The 24,780-nt window shown below is 46.5% G+C and overlaps 1 long non-coding RNA gene and 2 pseudogenes across 1 annotated transcript in view, besides 1 other annotated feature; 1 reads left to right on the top strand and 2 right to left on the bottom strand.

The window, feature by feature from the left end:
• Positions 1 to 14,769, top strand: part of FOLR1-AS1 (FOLR1 antisense RNA 1) — a 45,920-nt gene extending 31,151 nt beyond the window's left edge. The window contains exon 3 of the long non-coding RNA NR_199595.1: positions 14,712 to 14,769. This is a non-coding gene — a long non-coding RNA (FOLR1 antisense RNA 1). The remainder of the gene's footprint in view (positions 1 to 14,711) is intronic.
• On the bottom strand, positions 47 to 5,651 carry FOLR3P1 (folate receptor 3 pseudogene 1; annotated as a pseudogene).
• Positions 12,556 to 13,365: an enhancer, noted in NCBI's record as "NANOG-H3K27ac-H3K4me1 hESC enhancer chr11:71875770-71876579 (GRCh37/hg19 assembly coordinates)". NCBI's record gives its function as "activates a minimal SCP1, AML or CMV promoter by ChIP-STARR-seq in primed H9 embryonic stem cells {active_cell/tissue: H9 hESC(primed)}" and the evidence as "EXISTENCE:reporter gene assay evidence [ECO:0000049][PMID:30033119]".
• Positions 14,770 to 18,434: 3,665 nt separating the features above from the next.
• FOLR1P1 (folate receptor 1 pseudogene 1) lies at positions 18,435 to 19,258 on the bottom strand (annotated as a pseudogene).

Here is a 24,780-nt window from a genome sequence, read left to right as displayed (position 1 = left end):
AATGTGTCACTCCAACCCACTTGTCCCCAGATTACAAGACACAAGACACATGTGGATTTGTCTATTAGGATAGGTTGTCGGAAGAACCCCAGGGGACCCTTCTTGGATCAGGAACCAATGTCCACGGCCCCAGTCCCATGGGACGGGGCCCCAGCATTCATGGCCGCAGCATAGAACTTGGCCACCTCCTCACTGGGGTTGCCCTGGGCTGAGTCAAACCACATCTAGATGCAGCGGCCACTCCCTCAGCTGTAGTTGTAGTTGCTGACCTTGAAGGAATGGCTCCAGAGGCCTTCACAAAGGGCAGCTGGAGTGGGGAAGTAGGGCTCAAAGGTGTGGCAGAGGGCCCAGGCCGGACACTCATTAATCCCTGAGGGAGGAGAATGTAAGACCCTTAGCTTCTGGGCCAGACCACACCCCTCCCAACCCCAAAGCCCCACTCCCACTCCTCACCTCATCTCCTCCGTCCCTCACCTGAGGTCCAATTCCAGCCTTTGTGCCAGTTGCTTTTGCAGGTGTAGGAGGTGCGACAGTCCTCCCACCAGCGCTCACAGTCCTCTTTGCACAGGGGCACGTTCAGAATGCGCTCTTTGCGCCAGCTCTGGTTGACCTGAGTGGGGAGGAGACGGAACACTCCTGTCAGCCACGTATCTCAGCCGCTTTACCCTTGAAGGAGACCAGAGCTGTGGGAGGGGGCAGGGCGTCCACCACCCTCAGACCCAAATTCCTGGACCAAGCCCTCTCTGCAAGTGGCTGGCAGGTTGTGCCCTCTGCTGAGATTAATGTTTTGTGTTGTTTTTGTTGTTGTTGTTTTATTTTTGAGACAAAGTCTCGCACTGTTGCTCAGGCTGGAGTGCAGTGGCACAATCTCGGTTCACTACAACCTCCACCTCCCAGGTTCAAGCGATTCTCCTGCCTCAGCCTCCTGAGTAGCTGGGATTACAGGCTCCCACCGCCATGCCCGGCTAATTTTTGTATTCTAGTAGAGACAGGGTTTCATCATGTTGGCCAGGCTGGTCTCGAACTCCTGACCTCAGGTAATCCACCTGCCTTGGCCTCCCAAAGTGCTGGGATTACAGGCATAAGCCAATGCACCCAGCTATGAGGTTCATGTTTGTGGGAATGGCACTCATACCTGCCAGATCCAGGGCCCGAGGTTGGGTGAGCACTCATAGAGACCGGTGTCCTGGATAAAGTGGCGCTTGCAGGCAGGCTCCATCTTACCACAGTGATCCCAGTTAAAGTTGTACAGGCGGGAGGTGTCCTTGTGCAGCTCCTGGCTGGTGTTGGTCATGCAGCAGGCATTCTTCTTCTAGGGACTGCACTGGGTGGGGAAGACACAGGACTAAGTCCCTCACCACCGCAGCCATCTCCCCCATATTCTGGCTCCTCTGCCCCAGGTAGGTCATCCAGAGGAACACTTCCTAGGGAGGGCCCTTGAGGAGTCCCCACCTGGGAACACAGGCAATTACAATATTGGTGCATTTTTCCCTTATTTATTTATTTATTTGAGACAGGTCTCTCTCTGTTGCACATGCTGGAGTGCTGTGGTGCAATTATAGCTCACTGTAGCCTCTACATCCTGTGCTCAAGCAATCCTCCCACCTCAGCCTTCTGAGTAGCTGGGATTCAGGCCCATGCCACCACACCTGGCTATTTTTAAAATCTTTTTGTAGAGACAAATGGGATCTAATTAAACTAAAGAGCGTCTGCACAGCAAAAGAAACTACCATCAGAGTGAACAGGCAACCTACAGAATGGGAGAAAATTTTTGCAATCTACCCATCTGACAAAGGGCTAATATCCAGAATCTACAAAGAACTTAAACAAATTTACAAGAAAAAAATCAAACAACCCCATCAAAAAGTGGGCAAAGGAAATGAACAGACACTTCTCAAAAGAAGACATTTATGCAGCCAACAGACACATGAAAAAATGCTCATCATCACTGGCCGTCAGAGAAATACAAATCAAAACCTCAATGAGATACCATCTCACACCAGTCAGAATGGCAATCATTAAAAAGTCAGCAAAAAACAGGTGCTGGAGAGGATGTGGAGAAATAGGAACACTTTTACACTGTTGGTGGGACTATAAACTAGTTCAACCATTGTGGAAGACAGTGGGGCGATTCCTCAAGGATCCAGAACTAGAAACACCATTTGACCCAGCCATCTCATTACTGGGTATATACTCAAAGGATTATAAATCATGCTGCTATAAAGGCATATGCACATGTATGTTTATTGCGGCGCTATTCACAATAGCAAAGACTTGGAACCAACCCAAATGTCCATCAGTGATAGACTGGATGAAGAAAATGTGGCACATATACACTATGGAATATATGCAGCCATAAAAAAGGATGAGTTCATGTCCTTTGTAGGGACATGGATGAAGCTGGAAACCATCATTCTGAGCAAACTATCGCAAGGACAGAAAACCAAACACCACATGTTCTCACTCATAGGTGGGAATTGAACAATGAGGACACTTGGACACAGAGTGGGGAACATCACACACCGGGACCTGTCGTGGGGTTGGGGGAGGGGGGGATAACATTAGGAGAAATACCTAATGTAAATGACGAGTTAATGGGTGCAGCACACCAATATGGCACATGTATACATATGTAACAAACCTGCACGTTGTGCAAATGTACCCTAGAACTTAAAGTATTAAAAAAAAAAAGATGGGGTCTCACTATGGTTCCCAGGCTAGTCTCAAACTCCTGGGCTCAAGCAATCCTCTCATCTCAGCTTCCCAAAGTGCTAAGATTACAGATGTGAGCCATCACGCCTGGCCAATATTGGCTTTTAACGGAGCATAATAGAGGGGAGCCACTGTCTGGGACAGTAATTATTGTTTGTACAGCTCTTAATGGTTGAAAAAGTTATTTCATGTTATTCAGCTTATTTATATTATTCATTTTGCATCCAGCCAATATTAACTGAGTGCTTATTAGACATCAGGCACTGTGATAGGTCCTAGGAACACCCCAGTGAACAAAGCAAGTAACATCTCTAGCCTCATGGAGGGTATAGTTTTAATGGGTGGATGGGCTGTGTGTACAGGGAAGATAAAGAACACTCAGGCATAGAAAACCATAGGTGCAAAGTCCCTGAGGCTTTTGCACTTTATCCTCTTAACAACCCAGTATGAATCCTTAAACCCATTTTTACAGCGTTTCAGTAAGCTACACCTGTGGTATATAGTAGGGTTAAGATTTAACTCAGGACAGGAAGGAGAGGAACCTGGCCCAGGTTGTGGGGGAGGGTGGAGGTCAAGGGGCTGGTGTGGCTTTTCCAGGGTCTGGAAGTCCAGGCAAGGAGACTCCAAATAGATCCTGAGAGTGGTGGGGGAACAGAGGAGCTGTAGCCTGAACGTGGGCCTGAACCCGGGCTTGACTAAATGTGGAAAAGGCAATCCTAGAAAGGTAAATACAATGCAGGCAAGACAAGCAGAAATGGTGGAGGTTTTTCTTTGGAAATCACTCTAGGCCAGGATGCAGAAAACCTGAGAAATCATGAGTCAATTGCATAACATTTCTGGGCTGAACCCTTGCACCTAGGGTCAAGTGATGGCAGAGGCGTGACAGGTCTGAGCAACCAGGAGAAACAATAGGGAAATCCATGGGAGTGGAGCCAGACCTACCCACTGGGCCACCACGCCCAGTGCCGGCCGACACAGAACATGCTTCCCCGCCAGCACAACTTCACACTTGCTTTTCCTTGGCTGTCCCAACTCTTGGTCTTCCTGCAAGACCCCTTGCACATCATGGGTCTTGGGGTTTGGCAGACATGGGTTTTGCCAGTCAGGGTCAGGGGTTTCTGCCTCTGAAAGAGTTACTGAATATAATGAAAAGTACTCCCTGGCTATAGAAGTGGCCCAACAAATATCATCACTCTCATATAGCTCATGGCCCTGAGAATGATAATCATCTGTATCTCTCAAAGTCTACATCTGCACCATTTCTTGGCAAAGAGTAGGTGCTTTAGAAGGTTCTGAAAAGCAAATGAAGTGGTGGGCACAAAGTTTCCATTTCAGTTTTGGAGAATGAAAGAGGTCAGGAGATGGATGGTGGTGATGGTTGCACAACCACATGAGCATACTTTTTTTTTTTTTTTGACAGAGTTTTGCTCTTGTTGCCCAGGCTGGAGTGCAATGGCGCGATCTCGGCTCACTGCAACCTCTGCCTCCCAGGTTCAAGCAATTCTCCCGTCTCAGCCTCCCGAGTAGCTGGGATTACAGGCATGGGCCACCATGCCCGGCTAATTTTTTTTTTTTTTGTATTTTTAGTAGAGACAGGGTTTCTCCATGTTGGTCAGGCTGGTCTCAAACTCCTGACCTCAGGTGATCCGCCCACCTCGGCCTCCCAAAGTGCTGGGATTACAGGCGTGAGCCACTGCACCCGGCATACATGAGCATACTTAATGCCACTGACCTGTACAGTTAAAAATGGCTAAAATGGAGAACTTATTTTATTTATTTATTTTAAATTTTACCCTGATTTTAAAATAAGCAAATGGAATGTTGGGAATGACTCAGATGTCACAGGGCTTCCAGGCTGTCCTCTCTTTGCTTTAGCCCTCGGAGCCTGTCCATGCCACAGTCTCTCCCTGGGCACATCCTCACCCTCTGGGAATGTGAACCCTTCTAGGGAGCAGGCCAGGAGACCAGAGAAATGAAATACAGGCACTCTCCTGAGCTTGGAATTCAAATTGGAGCTCATACTCCCCGAGCTGCCTCAGTGGCCTTACCTGTGGCATGAGGGCCCTGGCCTCCCCTCCCCTTCCTTGTGGGCAGTGGCACCGCTGGCTCTGGCCACACTGGACCCGCCATTGCTCGTGCCATCACCCTCTGACCTGTGTGCATGCTGTCCTCTACCAGGCTGCCCTTTCCCGCTTTTTCCTCCTAGAAAACTCTTACTCATCTTCCCAGGTCAAGGCCAATGGTCTCTTGCCTGGGAAGTCTCCCCAGCATATTGGATTGGTCGTTGTCTCTTCAGTACCTAATGGGGGTGGAAACCTGGACTGTTTGTACATGTAGGCTGCACCATGACCATGATGGGCCCAGCTCCTCTTCTACTGTGCCATTGAGCTCTGTGGGCTGGCACACAATTAAGGCTGGGAAAGGTATGGACAGTCCCTCTCCTCATTTCCCACTTGCACCTGCGCCCTCTCTGGGCCTATTTCCTCATTTGCGTAAGTAGAGACTACCACGCACCCACCCTGCCCTTTGGGCATATTCACTAACATGGCATGAGTGAAAGCACAAGGCTCATAGGCTCATAGTGGGTGTTAGGTATGTGGTTCCTTTATTATTGTAGATTTGGTGTCCTCCCAGGGGAGGCCCTCCAGGATCACAGCAGTCATCCTCTGCCTTCATCACCTTCCACAGCTGACTTCACCCTGCTAACTTTTCTCTGTCAAAGGCAGCTCTCTCCCCTGCCCCAGACCCGACTTTATCCTCACCTGGCCATACAGCTCGTCCTCGGGGCTGGGCTGTGTCTTGTGGTACTTGGCGTTCATGCAGACATTGAGCAGGTCTGTCCTGGCCCGCGCACTCCTGGGCTGGGCACTCCCCGCAGCAGTCACCAAAGCCAGAAGGAGCAGCTGCATCATCTGCCAGGCCATGTCCATCTATTCCTGCCAGAGAGCCACAGTCAGAGGTAGACAAGGCCTGAGGGAGGGGCAACAGCCATGTGATTGTGTACTGTCTCCCTCCCAGGCCCAGATCTCTGCTGTCCCCACCCTGCATCCCCTACAGGGCAGCTGAGCCAAGAAATGCGCTGCGTGTAGAGGTGAGAGGGAGCCCTTCCCCGGCTGGCCTGGAGGCAGGACTCTCCTCCTACTTCCCACCCAACAGTGCTCTAGGTCCAGGTTCTGACACCAGCTTGCTCTGAGATCATGGAGGGAGCCACCGCCCTTGTGGACTTCCCCTCTTGGATTTCTCCAGTGTTTTATGCAATTCCTCTCAAATTTGCACAAGGAGGAACCACAGGTGGTGGCCTGCTGATGCAGGAGTGAGACTCTAGACAGCCTCAGGCTTCTGCTTCCTCAGCCTGTCCTCCTACCCCACGGCAACTGAGGTTTAGATGCCCAGGGAAGCTGAGATGGGGACAGCAAGGGCCATGGAGCTGTCAGCTATTGTTCATGGTCCTGGAGCAGATGCTGCGGGAGGCAAGGAGGTGGGGGCAATCGCACCTCACCCTTCACCCCTCCTGGGTCTTGGGAAATTACCTAGGCAGAGGCAGGCTCAGAGGTTGGGGGAGGCCAACAGGTCAGCGGCAAATGGAGGAGGGGGCTGAGCGAGAACAGTGAGCGCTATCTCGCCTCCCATGTCTCATCCCCACTTTTCCCTCTGTCCTGTTGCAGGGCCTTACCTCCATCCTCAGCCCACCTGGGAGGGTGGAGTCTCTCCCACCTCCCCACCTACTTTATAACCCCATCCTGCCTGCTTGGTTAGACCCTCTGTTCGGGAAGGTGCACAAGGCTTTGTCTAGGAGACAGCTCAATTGTCTTTCAATAAGGACCCAGTTAAATTATGGTACATCTACCCAGTGGAATTTAATGTGGTAACAAAGAAAGAGGAAGCTCCTGATGTACAAATACGGAAAAATCTCCATGTGCATTGTGAAGTGGGAGAAGGAAGGTGCAGAAGAATGCTATGTAAAAAAAAATTCTGTGTAAAAAAGGAGGAGTTAGAATATCTGTGCTTGCAGGAGAAAATGCTGAAAGGTATGAAAAGAAACCAATAAGGTGATCACCTGGGGGAAGAGGACAGCATCAGGGATGCGACCTTTCACTGTAAACCTTTCTACGTTGTTTTGATTTTTGGACCAGGTGAAGTTATACCTTATTTAAATATGTATTGGTATGTGTGTATGTATACATAAATATACAAAATAGGAAGTGAAAATACAAAGACACAGAATGATTTATCTGACTTGATAATAGATATGTAAATGTCAATAACACTAGAATGCACACAACAATGGTACATTTAAGTTAAGGATACTATACATGTGTTTGCCAAAGTATGAACATGAGGCCACTGAGTGTTCTGGTCTCTGGGTATACATCTGGTCAAATTCTATGCATTTACACTACACATATCCCATTTATGGGCACAAATGGTAGCATACTGTTTTATACTTTGCTTTTTCTGGGTAGTTTCAGTATACATTTATGCTTTTGACAAAAACCAAAAACCTCATGAACCCAAGCTATCCACACTTGCTCTCTTGAGTATTGCCGTATGTATTAGTCCATTTTCAGGAATGATAAAGACATACCCGAGATAGAGCAATTTACAAAAGAAAGAGGTTCATTGGACTTACAGTTCCACATGGCTGGGGAGACCTCACAATAATGGCAGAAGGCAAGGAGGAGCAAGTCACATCTTATGTGGATGACAGCAGGCAAAGAGAGAGCTTGTGCAGAGAAACTCCTGTTTTAAAAACCATCAGATCTCGTGAGACCCATTCACTCTCACAAGAACATGGGAAAGACCCACCCCCATGATTCAATCATCTCCCACCAGGTCCCTCCCACAACATGAGTGAATTATGGGAGCTACAAGATGAGATTTGGGTGGGGACACAGCCAAGCCATATCATTCCATCCCTGTCCCCTCCCAAATCTCATATCTTCACATTTCAAAACCAATCATGCCTTCCCAACAGTCCCCCAAAGTCTCAACTCATTTCAGAATTAACTCAAAAGTCCACAGTCCAAAGTCTCAGCAAAGAAAAAGCAAGACACTTCTGCCTATCAGCCTGTAAAATCAAAAGCAAGTTAGTTACTTCCTGGATACAATGGGAGTACAGGTATTGGGTAAATACAGCCACTCCAAAATGGGAGAAATTAGCCAAAACAGAGGGGCTACAGGCCCCTGCAAGTCCAAAATCCAGCAGGGCAGTCAAATCTTAAAGCTCCAAAATGATCTCCTTTGACTCCATCTCTCATATCAGGTCACACTAATGTAAGAGGTGGGTTCCCATGGTCTCTGGCAGCTCCGCCCCTGTGGCTTTTCAGTGTACAGCCTCCCTCCCGGCTGCTTTCACAGGCTGGCATTGAGTGTCTGCAGCTTTTCCAGGCAAACAGTGCAAGCTGTCAGTGGATCTACCATTCTTGGGGCTAGAGGACAATGGCCCTCTTCTCACAGCTGCCCTAGGCAGTGCCCCAGTAAGGACTCTGTGTGGGAGCTCCAACCCCACATTTCCCTTCCGCCCTGCCCTAGCAGAGGTTCTCCATGAGCACCCCACCCCTGCAGCAAACTTCTGCCTGGGCATCCAGGCATTTCCATACATCTTCTGAAATCTAGGTGGAGGTTCCCAAACCCCAATTCTTGACTTCTGTGCACTTGCAAGCTCAATACCACGTGGAAGCTGCCAAGGACTGGGGCTTTCACCCTCTGCAGCCATGGCCTAAGCTCTATGTTGGCCCCTTTCAGCCATGGCTGGAGCAGCTGGGACACAAGGCACCAAGTCCCTAGGCTACATACAGCACGGGGACCCTGGACCTGGCCCACGGAACCATTTCTCCTAGGCCTCTGGGCCTGTGATGGGAGGGGCTGCCAAGAAGACCTCTGACATGCCCTGGAGACATTTTCCCCATTGTATTGGGGGTTAATGTTCCTCTTGTTACTTATGCACATTTCTGCAGCTGGCTTGAATTTCTCCTCAGAAAATTGGCTTTTCTTTTCTATCGCATTGTCAGGCTGCAAATTTTCTGAACCTTTATTCTCTGCTTCCCTTATAAAACTGAATTCCTTTAACCACACCCAAGTCACCTCTTGAATGCTTTGCAGCTTAGAAATTTCTTCCGCAGCCAGGTGTGGTGGCTCATGCCTGTAATTCCAACACTTCAGGAGGCTGAGTTGGATCATTTGAGGTCAGGAGTTTGAGACCAGCCTGGCCAATGTGGTGAATCCCTGTCTCTTCTAAAATACAAAAATTAGCCAGGCATGGAGGCACATGCCTGTTATCTCAGCTGCTTGGGAGGCCGAGACATGAGAAACGCTTGAACTCAGGAGGCGAAGGTTGCAGTGAGCCAAGGTCACGCTACTGTCCTCTGGCCTGGGTGACAGAGTGAGACTCTATCTCAAAATAATAATAATAATAATAATAATAATAATAATAATAAACAAATTTCTTCCACCAGATAGCCTAAACCATCTCTCTCGAGTTCAAAGTTCTGCAAATCTCTAGGGCAGGGACAAAATGCTGCCAGTCTCTTTGCTAAAACATACAAGAGTTACCTTTGCTCCAGTTCCCAACAAGTTCCTCATCTTCATCTGAGACCACCTCAGCCTGGACCTTATTGTCCATATCACTATCAGGCTTTTGGTCAAGGCCCTTCAACAAGTCTCTAGGAAGCTCCAGACTTTCCCACATTTTCCTGTCTTCATCTGAGCGCTCCAAACTGTTCCAACCTCTGCCTGTTCCCCAGTTCCAAAGTCGCTTCCACATTTTTGGGTATCTTTTCAGCAATGCCCCACTCCCAGTACAAATTTACTGTATTCATCTGTTTTCACGCTGCTGATAAAGACATATGCAAGACTGGGCAATTTACGAAAGAGGTTTATTGGATTTACAGTTCCACATGGCTGGGGAGACCTTACAATCATGGTGGAAGGCAAGGAGAAGCAAGTCACATCTTATGTGGATGGCACCAGGCAAAGAGAGAGCTTGTGCAGAGAAACTCCCGTTTTTAAAACCATCAGATCTTGTGAGACCCATTCATTATCATGAGAACAGCACGGGAAAGACCCACCTCCACGATTCAATCATCTCCCACCAGGTCCCTTTCACAACACATGGGAGTTATGGGAGCTACAAGATGAGACTTGGGTGGGGACACAGAGCTAAATCATATCACTGTACATCTAATAACATAACTTTAAAGTTATTTCTTTATGCCTTGTATGTATAAACTTAAAGCTCATTAGCCAATATAAAAAACATTAGGGGGCCGTCCTTGGTGGCTCATGCCTATAATCCCAGTGCTTTGGGAGGCCAAGGCTGATGGATTGCTTGAGCCCAGGAGATCAAGACCAGCCTGGGAAACATAGGGAGACCTCATCTTCACACAAAAATACAAAAATTAGTTGGGTATGGTGGTCTAAGCCTATAGTCCCAGCCATTTGGGAGGATGAGCTGGGAGGATTGCTTGAGCCCAGGAGGTCAGGGCTGCAGTGAGCTGTGATGGCATCCCTGCACTCCAGCCTGGGTGACAGAGTGAGATCCTGTCTCGGAAAAAAAAAAAAAAAAGAAAGAAAGAAAAAAGTTAGGAAAGAGAACTTCATGTTTTCAAGTTAAAAGTGCCTGATCCGGCTGGGTGCAGTGGCTCACACCTTTAATCCCAGCACTTTGGAAGGCCAAGTCAGGGGTATCACCTGAGGTCAGGAGTTCAAAACCAACCTGGTCAACATGGTAAAACCCCATCTCTACTAAAAAAAAAAAAATACAAAAATTAGCCGGGCATGGTGGCACATACCTGTAATCCCAGCTACTCAGGATGTTGGGGCAGGAGAATCGCTTGAATCCAGGAGGTGGAGGTTGCAGTGAGCCAAGATCTCACCACTGCATTCCAGCTTGGGCAACAGAGCAAGATCCTGTCTCAAAAAAAAATAAAGTTGGTTTGTAATAAGCTATAGGACTCTGACAGGTGCTCTCAAATACAGGTTTCTGATAACTTTGGAGACTGTGATATTGGAATAAAGGAAAATGTACAGGACTCATGAAGAGCTAAAATGTTCACGAATATCAAGCATAACAAGAACTGAATGGACTGAACTCAGAAAGCTGAAGCAACCTTTTTGACTTTTGCTTGGAATATTGCTGATCCTTGTTTTGTTTCTCAGAGTCAAGGAAAATTATTTTGAACTCTTTAAGGCCTTTAATACTAGAGTAAGCTACACTCCTGTGAACAAAATTTGAAGCATATTTTTCTCTCTCTCTGCCTGGCTTCTCCAGAATTTGGAAATTATCCGTGAGTATTCTTTTTTTTTTTTTTTTGAGGCAGACTCTTGCTCTGTCGCCAAGCTGGAGTGCAGTGGCATGATCTCGGCTCACTGCAACCTCCGCCTCCCAGGTTCAAGTGATTCTCCTGCCTCAGTTTCCCAAATAGCTGGGACTACAGGCACTTGCCACCACACCCAGCTAATTTTTTGTATTTTAAGTAGAGACAGGGTTTCACCATGTTGGCCAGGCTGGTCTCGAACTCCTGACCTCCGGTGATCCGCCCACCTCGGCCTCCCAAGGTGCTAGGATTACAGGTGTGAGCCACCACGCCTGGCCAAGAATGTCACTTTCTAACAGGTCTAGGAGCTCCAAATTTGTCATGGGACCTTAACACGAGAAGATCATCCAACTTACAGGTATTTGAGGATACAAATCCATGGCTGGGCTCAGTTTTAAAACGTTTTGTCTGAAATTCCTTGAAGAACAGAGTTCCATCAAAGCCAATCTAAAAGACTTATGTAGAAATAGTTATTCTTGCTGCACTTTATGCAAATAATCAGGCCAAGTATATGACTAAAGTCTATTTTGCAAACAACTCAATCCTACCATAATTTGCTTTTTTAACAAAAATGAGGACTGGAGAGAGAGAAATTATGTTTCAAAACACCATACATTTGTCAATAAATTCTAAAGTCATTAGTGTTTAAGTTTTTGCCTACATTTTTAGGCTAACACTCCTTGTTCCTGTGAACCAACCAGCAATCTCCAGCTGCAGCTCAGAAAGAAGGAGAGGATGGGTAATGTAAAAATCTGGATCAATATTTTAGTTCTGAGCAATTATCCTGCAAATCCTGCCAGGTGATGGGAATAAATAGGATGCCCATTAATCGGAGGTTTCCTTTTTTGGAAAGTAAGAGCTAACCAAAGCCAAGCACCATGCACCCAAATCCTAGCTTACATAACTATAGCCACCAATTATCTGGGCATGTCACAAGACATCTTTTTCTCTCCCTTGTTGGAGGAGGACTCAATTCTGCAGCTTCACCTTCCTTAGCATTTGGCTTATGATAAGGAGTCCATGCAGCCCTTCCTAGACACATATTTTTGTTTCAAATTCTATTCCAAGCTTTGAGTCAAAGCCCCAGGAAAGAAAACTGGATCTAAGGGATTCAGAGGCAGATGATAACAGGGGTTAAAAGGCACAGTGCAAGGCCGGGCACAGTGGCTCACACCTGTAATCCCAGCACTTTGGGAGGCCAAGGCGGGCAGATCATGAGGTCAGGAGATCGGGACCATCCTGGCAAACACGGTGAAACCCCGTCTCTACTAAATATACAAAAATTAGCCAGGCATGGTGGCATGCACCTGTAATCCTAGCTACTTGGGAGGTAGAGGCAGGAGAATCGCTTGAACTGGGAGGTGGAGGTTGCAGTGAGCTGAGATCATGCCACTGCACTCCAGACTGGGCGACAGAGCAAGACTCCATCTCGAAAAAAAAAATACAAAAATTAGCTGGGCATGGTGGTGCGTGCCTGTAATCCCAGCTACTCAGGAGGCTGAGGCAGGAGAATCACTTGAACCAGGGAGTCGGAGGTTGCAGTGAGCCGAGTTCACTCCACTGCACTTCAGCCTGGCAACAGAGCGAGACTCTGTCTCAAAAAAAAAAAAAAAAAAAAAAAAAAAAAAGGCACAGTGCGTGCAAGTGAGCATGGCTAATTCCTGCCAATCAAGCCAAGCCTCCCATTTCATGGATAAAGGTCATGCTAGTATCCATGGCATATGTAGGGGTGGGTTGCCCCTACACACCTGTGGGTGTTTCTCGTAAGGTGGGACGAGAGATTTGGAAAAGAAAAAGACACAGAGACAAAGTATAGAGAAAGAAATAAGGGGACCCTGGGAACCAGCGTTCAGCATATGGAGGATCCCGCCAGCCTCTGAGTTCCCTTAGTATTTATTGATCATCTGTGGGTGTTTCTCAAAGAGGGGGATGTGTCAGGGTCACAAGACAATTGTGGGGAGAGGGTCAGCAGACAAACACGTGAACAAAGGTCTTTGCATCATAGACAATGTAAAGGATTAAGTGCTGTGCTTTTAGATATGCATACACATAAACATCTCAATGCTTTACAAAGCAGTATTGCTGCCCGCAGGTCCCACCTCCAGCCCTAAGGCGGTTTTTCCCTATCTCAGTAGATGGAGCATACAATCGGGTTTTATACCGAGACATTCCATTGCCCAGGGACAGGCAGGAGACAGATGCCTTCCTCTTGTCTCAACTGCAAGAGGCATTCCTTCCTCTTTTACTAATCCTCCTCAGCACAGACCCTTTACGGGTGTCGGGCTGGGGGACGGTCAGGTCTTTCCCTTCCCACGAGGCCATATTTCAGACTATCACATGGGGAGAAACCTTGGACAATATCTGGTTTTCCTAGGCAGAGGTCCCTGCGGCCTTCCGCAGTTTTTGTGTCCCTGGGTACTTGAGATTAGGGAGTGGTGATGACTCTTAAGGAGCATGCTGCCCTCAAGCATCTGTTTAACAAAGCACATCTTGCACCGCCCTTAATCCATTCAACTCTGAGTTGACACAGCACATGTTTCAGAGAGCACAGGGTTGGGGGTAAGGTTATAGATTAACAGAATCTCAAGGCAGAAGAATTTTTCTTAGTACATAACAAAATGGAGTCTCCTATGTCTACTTCTTTCTACACAGACAGAGTAACAATCTGATCTCTCTTGCTTTTCCCCACAGCATAAATGAGGTCTAGGAAACTCCAAGACTACTGACTGTAGGGGGTATAGAAACATAGGTAAGAGCGGATAATTCCTATTCTCTCTTTTTTTTTCCCCGAGATGGAGTCTTACTCTGTTGCCCAGGCTGGAGTGCAGTGGTGTGATCTTGGCTCACTGCAACCTTTGCCTCCTGGGACCAAGTGATTCTCCTGCCTCAGCCTCCCGAGTAGCTGGGACTACAGGCATGCACCACCACACCCAGCTAAGTTTTGTATTTTTAGTAGAGACGGGGTTTCACCATGTTGGCCAGGCTGGTCTCAAACTCCTGAAATCATGATCTGCCCACCTCGGCCTCCCAAGGTGCTGGGTTGTACAGGCGTGAGCCACTGAGTCTGGCTGATAATTCCTATTCTCTAGGTACTCCCTGCTTCATGGGTGCAAGCTGCTGTGGCACCCATGGCAGCACCTGCCAAGGTCACCAGGACTTGGGTATGCAAGGACAGAAGAGGGAAAGAGGACGCTCTTCCTTCTCTCCCTCATGTACCCCTGGTATCTGCTAGAAAGAGATAGGAGACAGGGATGCCTGCTCCCCTCTTTCTAGATGGGTAGCCATTCATCTTCACTCTGTACCCCTTTTGAATGCATGCTGAACCCCTGGGACTCCTTTAAAAAGCACCTTTTTTTCCTTTCTTCTCCACTGTCTTCTCTTCACTAATAGGTAATTGTGTCTTTGTACTATAGGACACTCCCCTCAGATGCATCCTCCAAACTGGAAAGAGTTAATTTCCCAAACCTTCAGCTGGTTGGCTTAGGATTGGGCTCAGAGGAAGGGAACCCACAAGCATGACATGCTGGCAAAAGGGTAAAGTTTTTTTTACCAGTCGGGCTTTTGGTTTCCCTCTCCCTGTGCAAACTGGTAAAAGGCCTAGGGATTTTAAGCTGTCCTTACCCTCCCTTGTTTCGTTTTAACACATGTTTTCTAATAACCTGGTTTTTCTCCTCTTGCCTTCAGGCCATCAAACTCCAAATGGTCGTGCAACCGGAGCCTCGGAAGATGGCGCCTTCTGCCGGGAACCCTTAGATAGGCTTCTGAGGGAGCTCTGACTGCCGTTTCCCAAAACACCGCTCCCTGTTAGCAGGAAGCAGTTTAGATCGGTCTTCGTCCTCACCCCTATCCTTGTTCTAACAGTAGTTTGATGTACTTCTTGAGAGGGGGGAATGAGACAGCCAAGTGTAAAGGGGTCCCCAGAGAACCTCTGACAAACCCGCACACTGGGAGGAATGTGCACTGGGGTGGAGCCTCTGGAAGTTCGTGCTGAGGAGCCTGGCCCCTCCTCTTCCAGGGTGGAACCTGGGATTCAACCTGAGAGGTGGGAAGCGTGTACTAGCAGGACTCTCACTCTGCCGAGGGTCCCCGTTTCCCCGCTTTTTTTTTTTGCCCAATAAATTCCATTTTTCTCACCCTTCAAAGTGTCTGCAAGCCTAATATTTCATGGCCAGGTGACAAGGACCCTGTCTTTGGCTGAACTGAGGAGAAACTCCTACAACATTACCATCCAGCAATTCCTATTTTTTTTTTTTTTTTTTTTTGAGACAGGGTCTCACTCTATCAACCCAGGCTGGACTGCAGTGGCACAGTCATAGCCCACTGCAGCCTCTACCTCCTGAGCTAAAGAGATCCTCCCATCTCAGCTTCCTGCATAGCTAGGACTACAGGCGTGGACCACCACACTGGGCTAAATTTTTTGTATTTTTATGTAGAGACGGGGTTTCACCATGTTGCCCAAGCTGTTCTAGAATCCCTGGCTCAAGTGATCTACCTGCCTTGGCCTCCCAAAGTGCTGGAATTACAGGTATGAGCCACCATGCTTGGCTTCCAACCAATATTTTAAAGTTCATGATGGGAATGGAGTTTGTCTCAGATGATAGATTTTTATGGAGCCACATGCCAATTTCCTTAGAATACTTTCCCTCATGGATACACCCCACAGAAACTCAGAATCATCCCCTCAATTCTTATCCCCCCTCATGCCCATTTACAATTAATCCCTGTTGTCACTTCCAGCCCCAGGCAACTACTAATCTACTTTCTGCCTCTATAAATTTGCCTTCCCTGCACATTTCATGTAAGTGAAATCATGCCACATGAAGCCTCTTAGGTCTGGCTTCTTTCACTTAACATAATGTTTTTGACGCTCATCCACGACATAGCATGTGTCATCACGTTTCATTGCTGCACAGTCTTCTATTGTATGGATTCACCACATTTTGTCTATCTACTCACCAGCTGCTAAAAATTTAGGTTATTGCCAGCTTGGGGCTATTATATATAATGATACATAATATGATATATCATATTTACATACATAAATGATACATCATATTTACATACATAAATATGATTATTATTAATATTCATATTTAAGTTTTGTTATGTTTGTTTTCGTTTCTCCTGAGTAGACACCTGGGAGTGGAATTTTGGGTTGTATGGCAGTTTTACATTTAACTTTTTGAGAAACTGCCACACTGTTTTCCGAAGGGCTGTACCATTTTACATCCCCACCAGCACTGTGTGAGGGTTCCCATTTCTCCACATCCTTGCCAATGCTTGTTATTGCCTATCATTATTATTATTGCCATTCTAGTAGGTATAAAACCGTCTATCACTATGGTTTTAGTTTCCATTTTTCTAATGATTAATAATGTTGAGCATCTTTTCGTGTAACTATTCATAATTTGTGTACCTTCTTTAATGACATATTTGTTCATTTCTTTTGCCCATTATTTGATTGGGTTGTCTGCCTTCTTGTTACTGAGTTGTAAGTGTTCTTTGTATTTTATGGATACAGATCCTTTATCAGATGTGTTTGCAAATATTTCCTTCCAGTCTGTTGCTTGTTTTTTAATTTTCTTAAGGGTGTCTTTTAAAGTGCAAGAGTTTTGAATTTTGTTAATATCCAATTATTAGCTTTTGCATTGATCAACTATGCTTTCGGTTCAAAAAAGAAATCAGTGGGCTGGCAGAGGTGTCTCACGCCTCTAATCCCAGCACTTTAGGAGGTCAAGGTGGGTGAATGAATCACTTGGGCGCAGCAGTTCAAGACCAGCTTGGGCAACATGGCAAAACCCCATCTCTACAAAAAAAATACAAAACATTTGCCCAGCATGGTGGCATGTGCCTGTAGTCCCAGCTACTTGGGAGGCTAAAGTTGAGGGATCAATTGAGCTCAGGAGGTCAAGACTGCAGTGAGCCATGACTGTGCCACTGCACTCCAGCCTGAGCAACAGAAAGAGACCCTGTCTCAAAAAATAAAAATAATAAATAGAAATAAATGAAGGGCGAAAAGGCATCAATTGGCCTTGTTTACAAGACTAGCCAGGGCGGTCATCAGTGGATTGCTCCACTTTTCAGGTTGATGTAGTTATTTGCATATGTATAGAGAGTTGGTCCTCCTTCTTACTAGGATCTAACCAAAAAATTAAATTTGTAACTATGACCATGCCAGAAACAGAAATCTACGAGAAAATAATGAAGTCTTTTTACTCATGATTAGGTCTGTTGCAAACCTTGTGATTCCCCTCTCCTTGCAAGTACATGATAGGATTATGTTTTCCTGGCTTTCTTGAATTTAGGCATGCTCATGACTTGATTTGGCCAATGAAATAAGTGATGGGTGGAAATTTGAAGAGCCTTATGGAATTTGCCAAGTTCCCTCTTCCTGTCTCATGGAAGATGGAGCCTCCATCAGCGTGGGTTCTTGAGTGAGAAGCAGAACCCCCTGGCTGCTAATGTAGTCCAGGAATGAGAAATAAACAGAATCCCCCTGATAACCCACATTCAGCATTGTAGCTTGAGCAAGAAATAAACATGACTTGTGGCCAGATGCAGTGACTCATGCCTGTAATCCCAGCATTTTGGGAGGATCACTCCAGCGCAGGAGTTTGAGAACAACCTGGGTAAAATAGTGAGACCCTGTCTCTACTATTACATATATAATACATGTTTTATATTATATGTATTAGCTGAATGTGGAGGCTCACACCTGTAGACCCAGCTACTCAGGAGGCTGAGGTAGGAGGATTGCTTGAGCCCAGTAGTTTGAGACCAGCCTGGACAACATTGCAAGATTTCCTCTCTACAAAAAATTGAAAAATTAGCCAGGTGTGGTGGCACATGCTTGTAGTCCCAAGTATTTGGGATGCTGAGGTGGGAGGATCACTTGAGCCCACGAGGCAGACGTTGCAGTGAGCTGAGATCATGCCACTCCATTCCAACCTGGGTGAGAGAGTGAGACCCTGTCTCAAAAAAAGAAAAATGCCTGGGCTTGGCTCTAAATTGGAGCTATAGTGAATAATAAAATCGAGAGCTACAAATGTCTCCTACCTTAGAAGAATACTTAAGTATCAGGCTAGTTCATAGCAAGCATCAGAGCTGGGAACTAGCCCAGTCTAACTGGCTTCAATCAATAAGAAATGGGAAACAAAACAGCCACATTCCCATTCATACCCAAATAATTCTCAAGATACATGTGTGGTGTCTGGTTTATTCAAAGTGGCTGTCAGAGACAAGACCATAGAAGAGGAACCAAATAGTTGGGAGCTGTGGGGCTAAACAGGGCAGGGATGTCCAAGTATCAGAAGGTAAAAGGAGGTCAGCTGAGCAGCCACAGCAGCATTAGGGCCAGGTTGAGCAGGAGAGGCCAGGCTGCCCAGGGCCCAGCCCCACTCAGAGCTGCAGCATAGAACCTTGCCACCTCCTCATTGGGGTTGCCCTGGGCCAGGTCGAACCACATCTGGATGCAGCGGCTGCTCCCTCGGTTGTAGTTGCTGACCCTGTAGGAGTGAGTCCAGATTTCACTGCACAGAGCAGTGGGTGTGAGAAAGTAGAGATGGAAAGGTAGTCAGGCAGCTGCCACCTGGCACTTGTTAGACCCTGTAGGGAAGAGGGAAGACCTTTAGCCACTGGGCCCCAAAGGGTCTCTGATTCTGCCAGCCCTACAACCCCAAAATGTCACACACCTGTTCCACACCCACACACCTTCACTTCCAAATCCCTCCTTTCCTGCCCACCCCAGCCCTCACCTGAGGTCCAGTTCCAGCCCTTGTGCCCATTGCTCTTGCAGGTGTAGGAGGTGCGACAATCTTCCCACCATTGCTCACAGTCCTCTTTGCACAGGGGCACATTCAGCACCCACTCTTTGCGCCAGCTCTGATCCACCTGGGAGATTTTGGTAGAAAAGAAGGGCTCAGGCTCAAGAATCCCAGGAACCCAGCCCTGAATAGAACTGGAGCTGGGGTTGCTGCCTGCAGAGACGCCTGGAAAATTCAGCTCCTCTGCTAGCTCTTGGATGCCAGGAAGCCATGCGTACCTGCTGGATCCAGGGCCCCAAGTTGGGGGGTCACTCGTAAAGGCAGGTGTCCTGGATAAAGTGCCGTTTGCAGGCAGGTACCATCTCTCCACAGTGGTTCCAGTTGAATCCATATAGATGGGAATATTCTTATGGGCTTCCTGGGTGGTGCTGGTAAAGCTCAGGCATTCTTTCTCCAGAGACTACACTGGATGCGGGAAGACACAGGACTAAGTCCACAGCCAGCACAGCCAGAATATTCCACACCCAGCCTCTCCCCTTTCAATCCTTAATCCCCAACCCAGTGGAAGTCATCCAGGAAAGTCCTTGCTGTTGGTAAACTCTTTGTGGGAGAGGGCTGTCAGAGACTGTGGAAGCCCGGAAGACAGCTCCTGTCTGGAGGTGCAGTCATTACAAAATTCGTTAATTCAGCTTTTATAGAGATCCTACATACTCTTACCCAGGCACTTTTCTAGTAACTGGGGTTACAAAAATGAGCACCTCAATGGATCACTGCTTTTGAAAACAATCAGGGGAGAAGGATGTCTCATACATTTTAGGGAAGCATGAGACATCAATCAAATGCATTTAAGGAATACATTGGCCAGGCACGGTGGCTCACGCCTGTAATCCCAGCACTTTGGGAGGCCAAGGCAGGCTGATCTTGAGGTCAGGAGTTTGAGACCAGCCTGGCCAACATAGTGAAACCCTGTCTCTACTAAAAATACAAAAAATTAGCTGGACGTGGTGACAGGCACCTGTAATCCTAGCTACTCAGGAGGCTGAGGTAGGAGAATTGCTTCAACCCAGGAGGCGGAGGTTGCAGCGAGCCGAGATCACACCACTGCACTCCAGCACGGGCGGCAGAGGGAGACTCCATCTAAAAAAAAAAAAAAAAATCATTGGTTTGGTCCAGGAAGGTGGGACAATTCAAAGTGGGGTGGCAGGGCTTTCAGGCTATACGTAAATTTAAACATTTTATGGTTGACAATTGGTTGAGTTTGTCTAAAGACCTGGGGTTGATAGAAAAGAAATGTTAAGATAAAAGACTGTGGAGACCAAGGTTCTTTTGAAGTCTTATAGTGGCTGCCCTTAGAAACAACAGATGACAAGTGTTTCCTATTCAGATCTATAAAAGGTGCTACACTTAGTTAATCTCTTTATGATTGGAAGGGCCTGGTAGAAAAAGATCCAGCTATGTTAATAGAGATTCTTTACAGATGAAAATTTTCCCCCACAAAGGACAGTAGCAGGGCCATTTCAAGATATGGCAAAGAAACATGTTTTGAGGTAAAAATATTAAAATATTTTGCTTTTCTTCCTTGTCTCGTCATGTTATGCCAGAGTCAGGTTGGAAAGTAAGTCATGATATATAGGGTTAAATAAAACCCATCTGATGAGAATTTATGATTTGTAGGGCATGACTCCCCAGACCCCTTAGATAGGAATTTTGGCAAGATAAAAAAAAATCATTGGATTTAGTCCTCGTTGAGGTGATAACCATTCGGAGGTGAGAAAGTAAGTTAAATTGTAACCCCAGAAGAGTTCCGATTACATAAACACTCAATACATACTTATTGAATGAATGAAAGCCCACGGCCTAGAATTTGGTATAAAGCTTGAGAAAAGAAAAATAGCTCAGAGCAGTCTCATGATGTGAGACATGCCCAATTTATCAGGCCCAGAAAGGCATGAGTATGGAACTTCAGTCACACCCTCCCCACCCATGCCCAGAGACAATTGTTCCAAGGCGTTTTGTCCCTGACTAGCTGCCTCACCCGTTATCTGTTCCTGGAATTTGTGATACAAAAAACAATGTATAGCCAATGAATTGCTTATGTTATTTTATTTTAAATTCTTGATAAACAACTTAGGAACTATTCTGTTTCCTTAAAAACTCACTTGTAACTGCTGTGAATCGAAGTGTATATTCAGGACAACTTGAATCTATGCTTCTGTGTAGCTATCCTCAAGCTTTCTGGATCTCGTTACTTAAGGCTGACAAGCTAAACATTAAAATGTGCACTTAAAAAATATATAAAAGCCCAGGCACAGTGGTTTACACCTATAATCCCAGTACTTTGGAGGCCAAGGTGGGAGGATCACTTGAGTGCAGGAGTTTGAGGTCAACTGGGACAACATAGTGAGACCTCATGTCTAAAAAGAGATAAAAATAAAAAAAAATAAAAATATAAAAAATAAAAGAATAAGTTAAAGTCAGAGCTGCTCAAGGTATACAGGTTATTTACCTCTTGTTAGTCTGCACTTGGCAGCTACAGGCTCACTGATTCAAAACAAGTGCAAACAGGGCAGTGACTGCTATCTGCTAATGGAGTCAAAACGAATATAAATAGAAATCCATATTACAAATTACTTTTCCTCTGTTTCTTCTTTAGTTATATTTGAATATGGATTTTTAAAATAACTGTTTAGCTAAGTTCAGGATATTAAAGGGGTTGTAGCCAAATAATTGTTATAGGCAGACCTCATGTCCAGTGGGATTGAGAGACACAGACTGAAGGTTTGCTAGATGCATGAACCAAGATGCTTCAGGCCGGATGTGGTGGCTCACATTTGTAATCCCAGCACTTTGGGAGGCCAAGGTGGAAGGATCGCTTGAGCCCAGGATTTGGAGACCAGCCTGGGCAACATAACAAGACCTCTCTCAAAGAAAAAAAAAATGCTTCACACCCAGCCTCATAACTGAGAGACTCTCCTTTCTTGAGCTGTTTAGGGCTGGCAGAAAAGAAGCCACTATGAACAGTGTGCAGTTTCTTCTTTCAGATCTATGGAGGAGTCATTCCCAGTCTAAATCCCTAAATCAAGCAACCCCAGGATGGGTCTCTCCAACTTCATTTCCCAGGCTCTCCTCTGGGCCTGCTTCCTTATTTGTGTAATGCGGAAACTCAACAACCAAGAAAGTGAGTTGTTGGCATTGTACCGACATTTGACACACAGTGTCTGTGAAATAAGTAGTCACATATCATATTAATACAAACTGAAGGGCTCCTCTGGTGGGTCTGTCAGAGGCGTTTCAACCAAAGCAACCCCATCTTGAATAGGGGCTGGGTAAAATGAAGCTGAAGCCTACTGGGCTGCATTCCCAGGAGGTGTGGCATTCCAAGTGACAGGATGAGCTAGGAGGTGAGCACAAGATAACAGGTCACAAAGACCTTGCTGATAAAACAGCCTGTGGTAAAGAAGCCAGCCCAAACCCACCAAAACCAAGATGGCGACCAAAGTGACCTCTGGTCATCCTCATCACTCATTATATGCTAATTATAATGTATTAGCATGCTAAAAGACACTCCCACCAGTGCCGTGATTACAGATGCCATGGCAACATCAGGAAGTTACCCTAAATGGTCTAAAAAGGAGAGGAACCCTCAGTTACGGGAATTGGCCACCCCTTCCTTGGAAAACTCATTAATAATCCACCCCTTCTTTAGCATATAATCAAGAAGTAACAATAAGTATCCTTAGTGGAGCAGCTCAAGCCACTGCCCTGCCTATGGAGTAGCCATTCTGTATTCCTTTACCTCCTTAATAAGCTTGCTTTCACTTTACTCTATGGACTCACCCCAAATTCTTTCTTATACAAGATCCAAGAACCTTCTCTTGGGGTCTGGATCTGGATCCCTTTCTGGTAACATCTTCCTGTCGAACCCTGAGGAGACACCCTACCCAAAGGAAATAGACTGCAGCACCAATTGGCTATCTAGGGTAAGTGGCGGGGTACCCAGGTAAAGGATGGAATTGGGTTAGAGGCTCAACTTAGGGGAGTTAAAGTCTCTCCTAAGACAGAGTGGGTTAAAGGCCCCTCTTAATAAAAGGCAAGGACACTTGACTGAACTTTGGTTTGAGGCCCAACTCAGGAGTGTTAGAGTCCCTTCTAAGATTTAGGGAGTTAGAAGCCCCTCTCAGAGTAAAGTTCCTCTTGGCTAAGAACGGATTTAGCACCATGGGATATTAATTGCTATTCTCTTTGGATTAATCTACCTTGAAATCTTTGCTGATGGCTGTGGGTGACAGAATTGTGTATGTACAGGATCCTGGGACATGAGAGCTTTTTGCTCCCCAAACGGGGACACTTAAGAGCTGATGCAACTCCTGGAAAAGATCCCTTCTTAACCAATGAGCGGCTGCCTGAACTTTTGATTCAGTGTCACTGGGATAGGTGAGTCTTTCTCTGGTCTTCCTGAGCTCTTCACTTTCCCCACCTTACCACAGGCAAGTTTTGGTTAATGAGAAAAAAGACTTGTGAGGCTAGCCTTAAGCTGTAACGAATCTGGTGTGCTTTGTGTGTCTATATTGTTCTGCCATAAAGAAGGGTACCTTAGGATAGAATGCAAGCCTACTGTTACCAGGGGGTCCTTGCTCCCAGAGTTCCCAAGATAGTGGCAGGCCGCTTCCAAGATGGCGGCAAGCCTCTTGTTCTCTGACCTGGGGTTCTTGGCCTCACAGATTCCAAGGAATGGAATCTTGGGCCATGCAGTGACTGTTATAGCTCTATTAGAAGCCGTGGGTCACAGAAGAGAACTGTGGAACCCAGCGACTAATGTTCAGCTCGATTAGAATGAACCCGGGCACTTAGCCGTGCAGGAACAATGACAAGACTTTAGCCCAATCCAGAGCGGCAATGGGTGCCTCACTGGATCAGGAGCACAGCAGACACCCTGCCAGATCTGGAGGGGTGGAAGTCAGCGGCGGGTCTGCGATGGCGGCAAACAGCAGTGGTGGACGGCAAGTGAAAGCTCAGCTCGAGTCGTAACAAACACTGACCAGAAGAGTGTGCAGTTGCAAGATTTAATAGAGTGAAAACAGAGCTCCCATACAAAGGGAGGGGACTCAAAGAGGGTAGCCCTTGCTGGTTTGAATGCCTGGGTTTATATCCTATCATTGTCCCTCCCAGTGTGCTCTCAGGCGATAGATGATTGGCTATTTCTTTACCTCCTGTTTTTGCCTAATTAGCGTTTTAGTGAGCTCTCTTTACTACCTGATTGGTCGGGTGTGAGCTAAGTTGCAAGCCCCGTGTTTAAAGGTGGATGCAGTCACCTTCCCAGCTAGGCTTAGGGATTCTTAGTAGGCCTAGGATATCCAGCTAGTCCTGTCTCTCACTATGACGCCTGTAAGCCCGCTGTTCAAAATGGCCAAGCAAACTGATCAGTTATAAACTTTGCTGAAGGTCCCTGAAAAGCTGGATGAAATTTCTCTTTCGTCTTGTTTTATGTCCTTGGGAGCTTCACCTTGTAACCACGTGGCGATACTTTCTCTTCGTTTCTACCATCCAGCAGACAGGAGTTTTGGGGTTCATGCCATAGTTACTCCTAAAAATTATCTTGATCAGATAAAAGCCTTTGCAAGCTCAAAATTGGTGACTCTAGCCTCCTTCTGGGAAGGGCAATGGAGACTGCCCAATGCTGTAGCTCAGCAGCTAAGACTGTCTTTTCACAGTGGCAGCCCAGGTTCAGGGTTCAATCCCCAGCTTAGGGAATGAGTCCTTTCTAGTTTGAGATCTGTCTGAACATTTGTAGATTCTCTTTCCCTCCACAAACTGTCTTGAATTTTTTTTCTCCGAGTACCTGGGAGTTTGCCTTTGGTAAAGTTCAGAAGCCAGAAATATTGGTAGTTTGGCATGGCTGAAGTTGGGTAATAAGAGACATTAAAGGATTTTTATTTTTAAGAGTGCTATGGTTAAAAGTCAGCTTCATTAAAGCAGGATATTCAAACTCT

The sequence above is a fragment of the Homo sapiens genome, chromosome 11 (assembly GCF_000001405.40).
Source record: "Homo sapiens chromosome 11, GRCh38.p14 Primary Assembly".
In the NCBI taxonomy this organism is placed as follows: Eukaryota; Metazoa; Chordata; class Mammalia; order Primates; family Hominidae; genus Homo; species Homo sapiens.
Note: the sequence above shows the minus strand (reverse complement) of the source record. Positions and strands in the feature narration are given on the sequence as shown.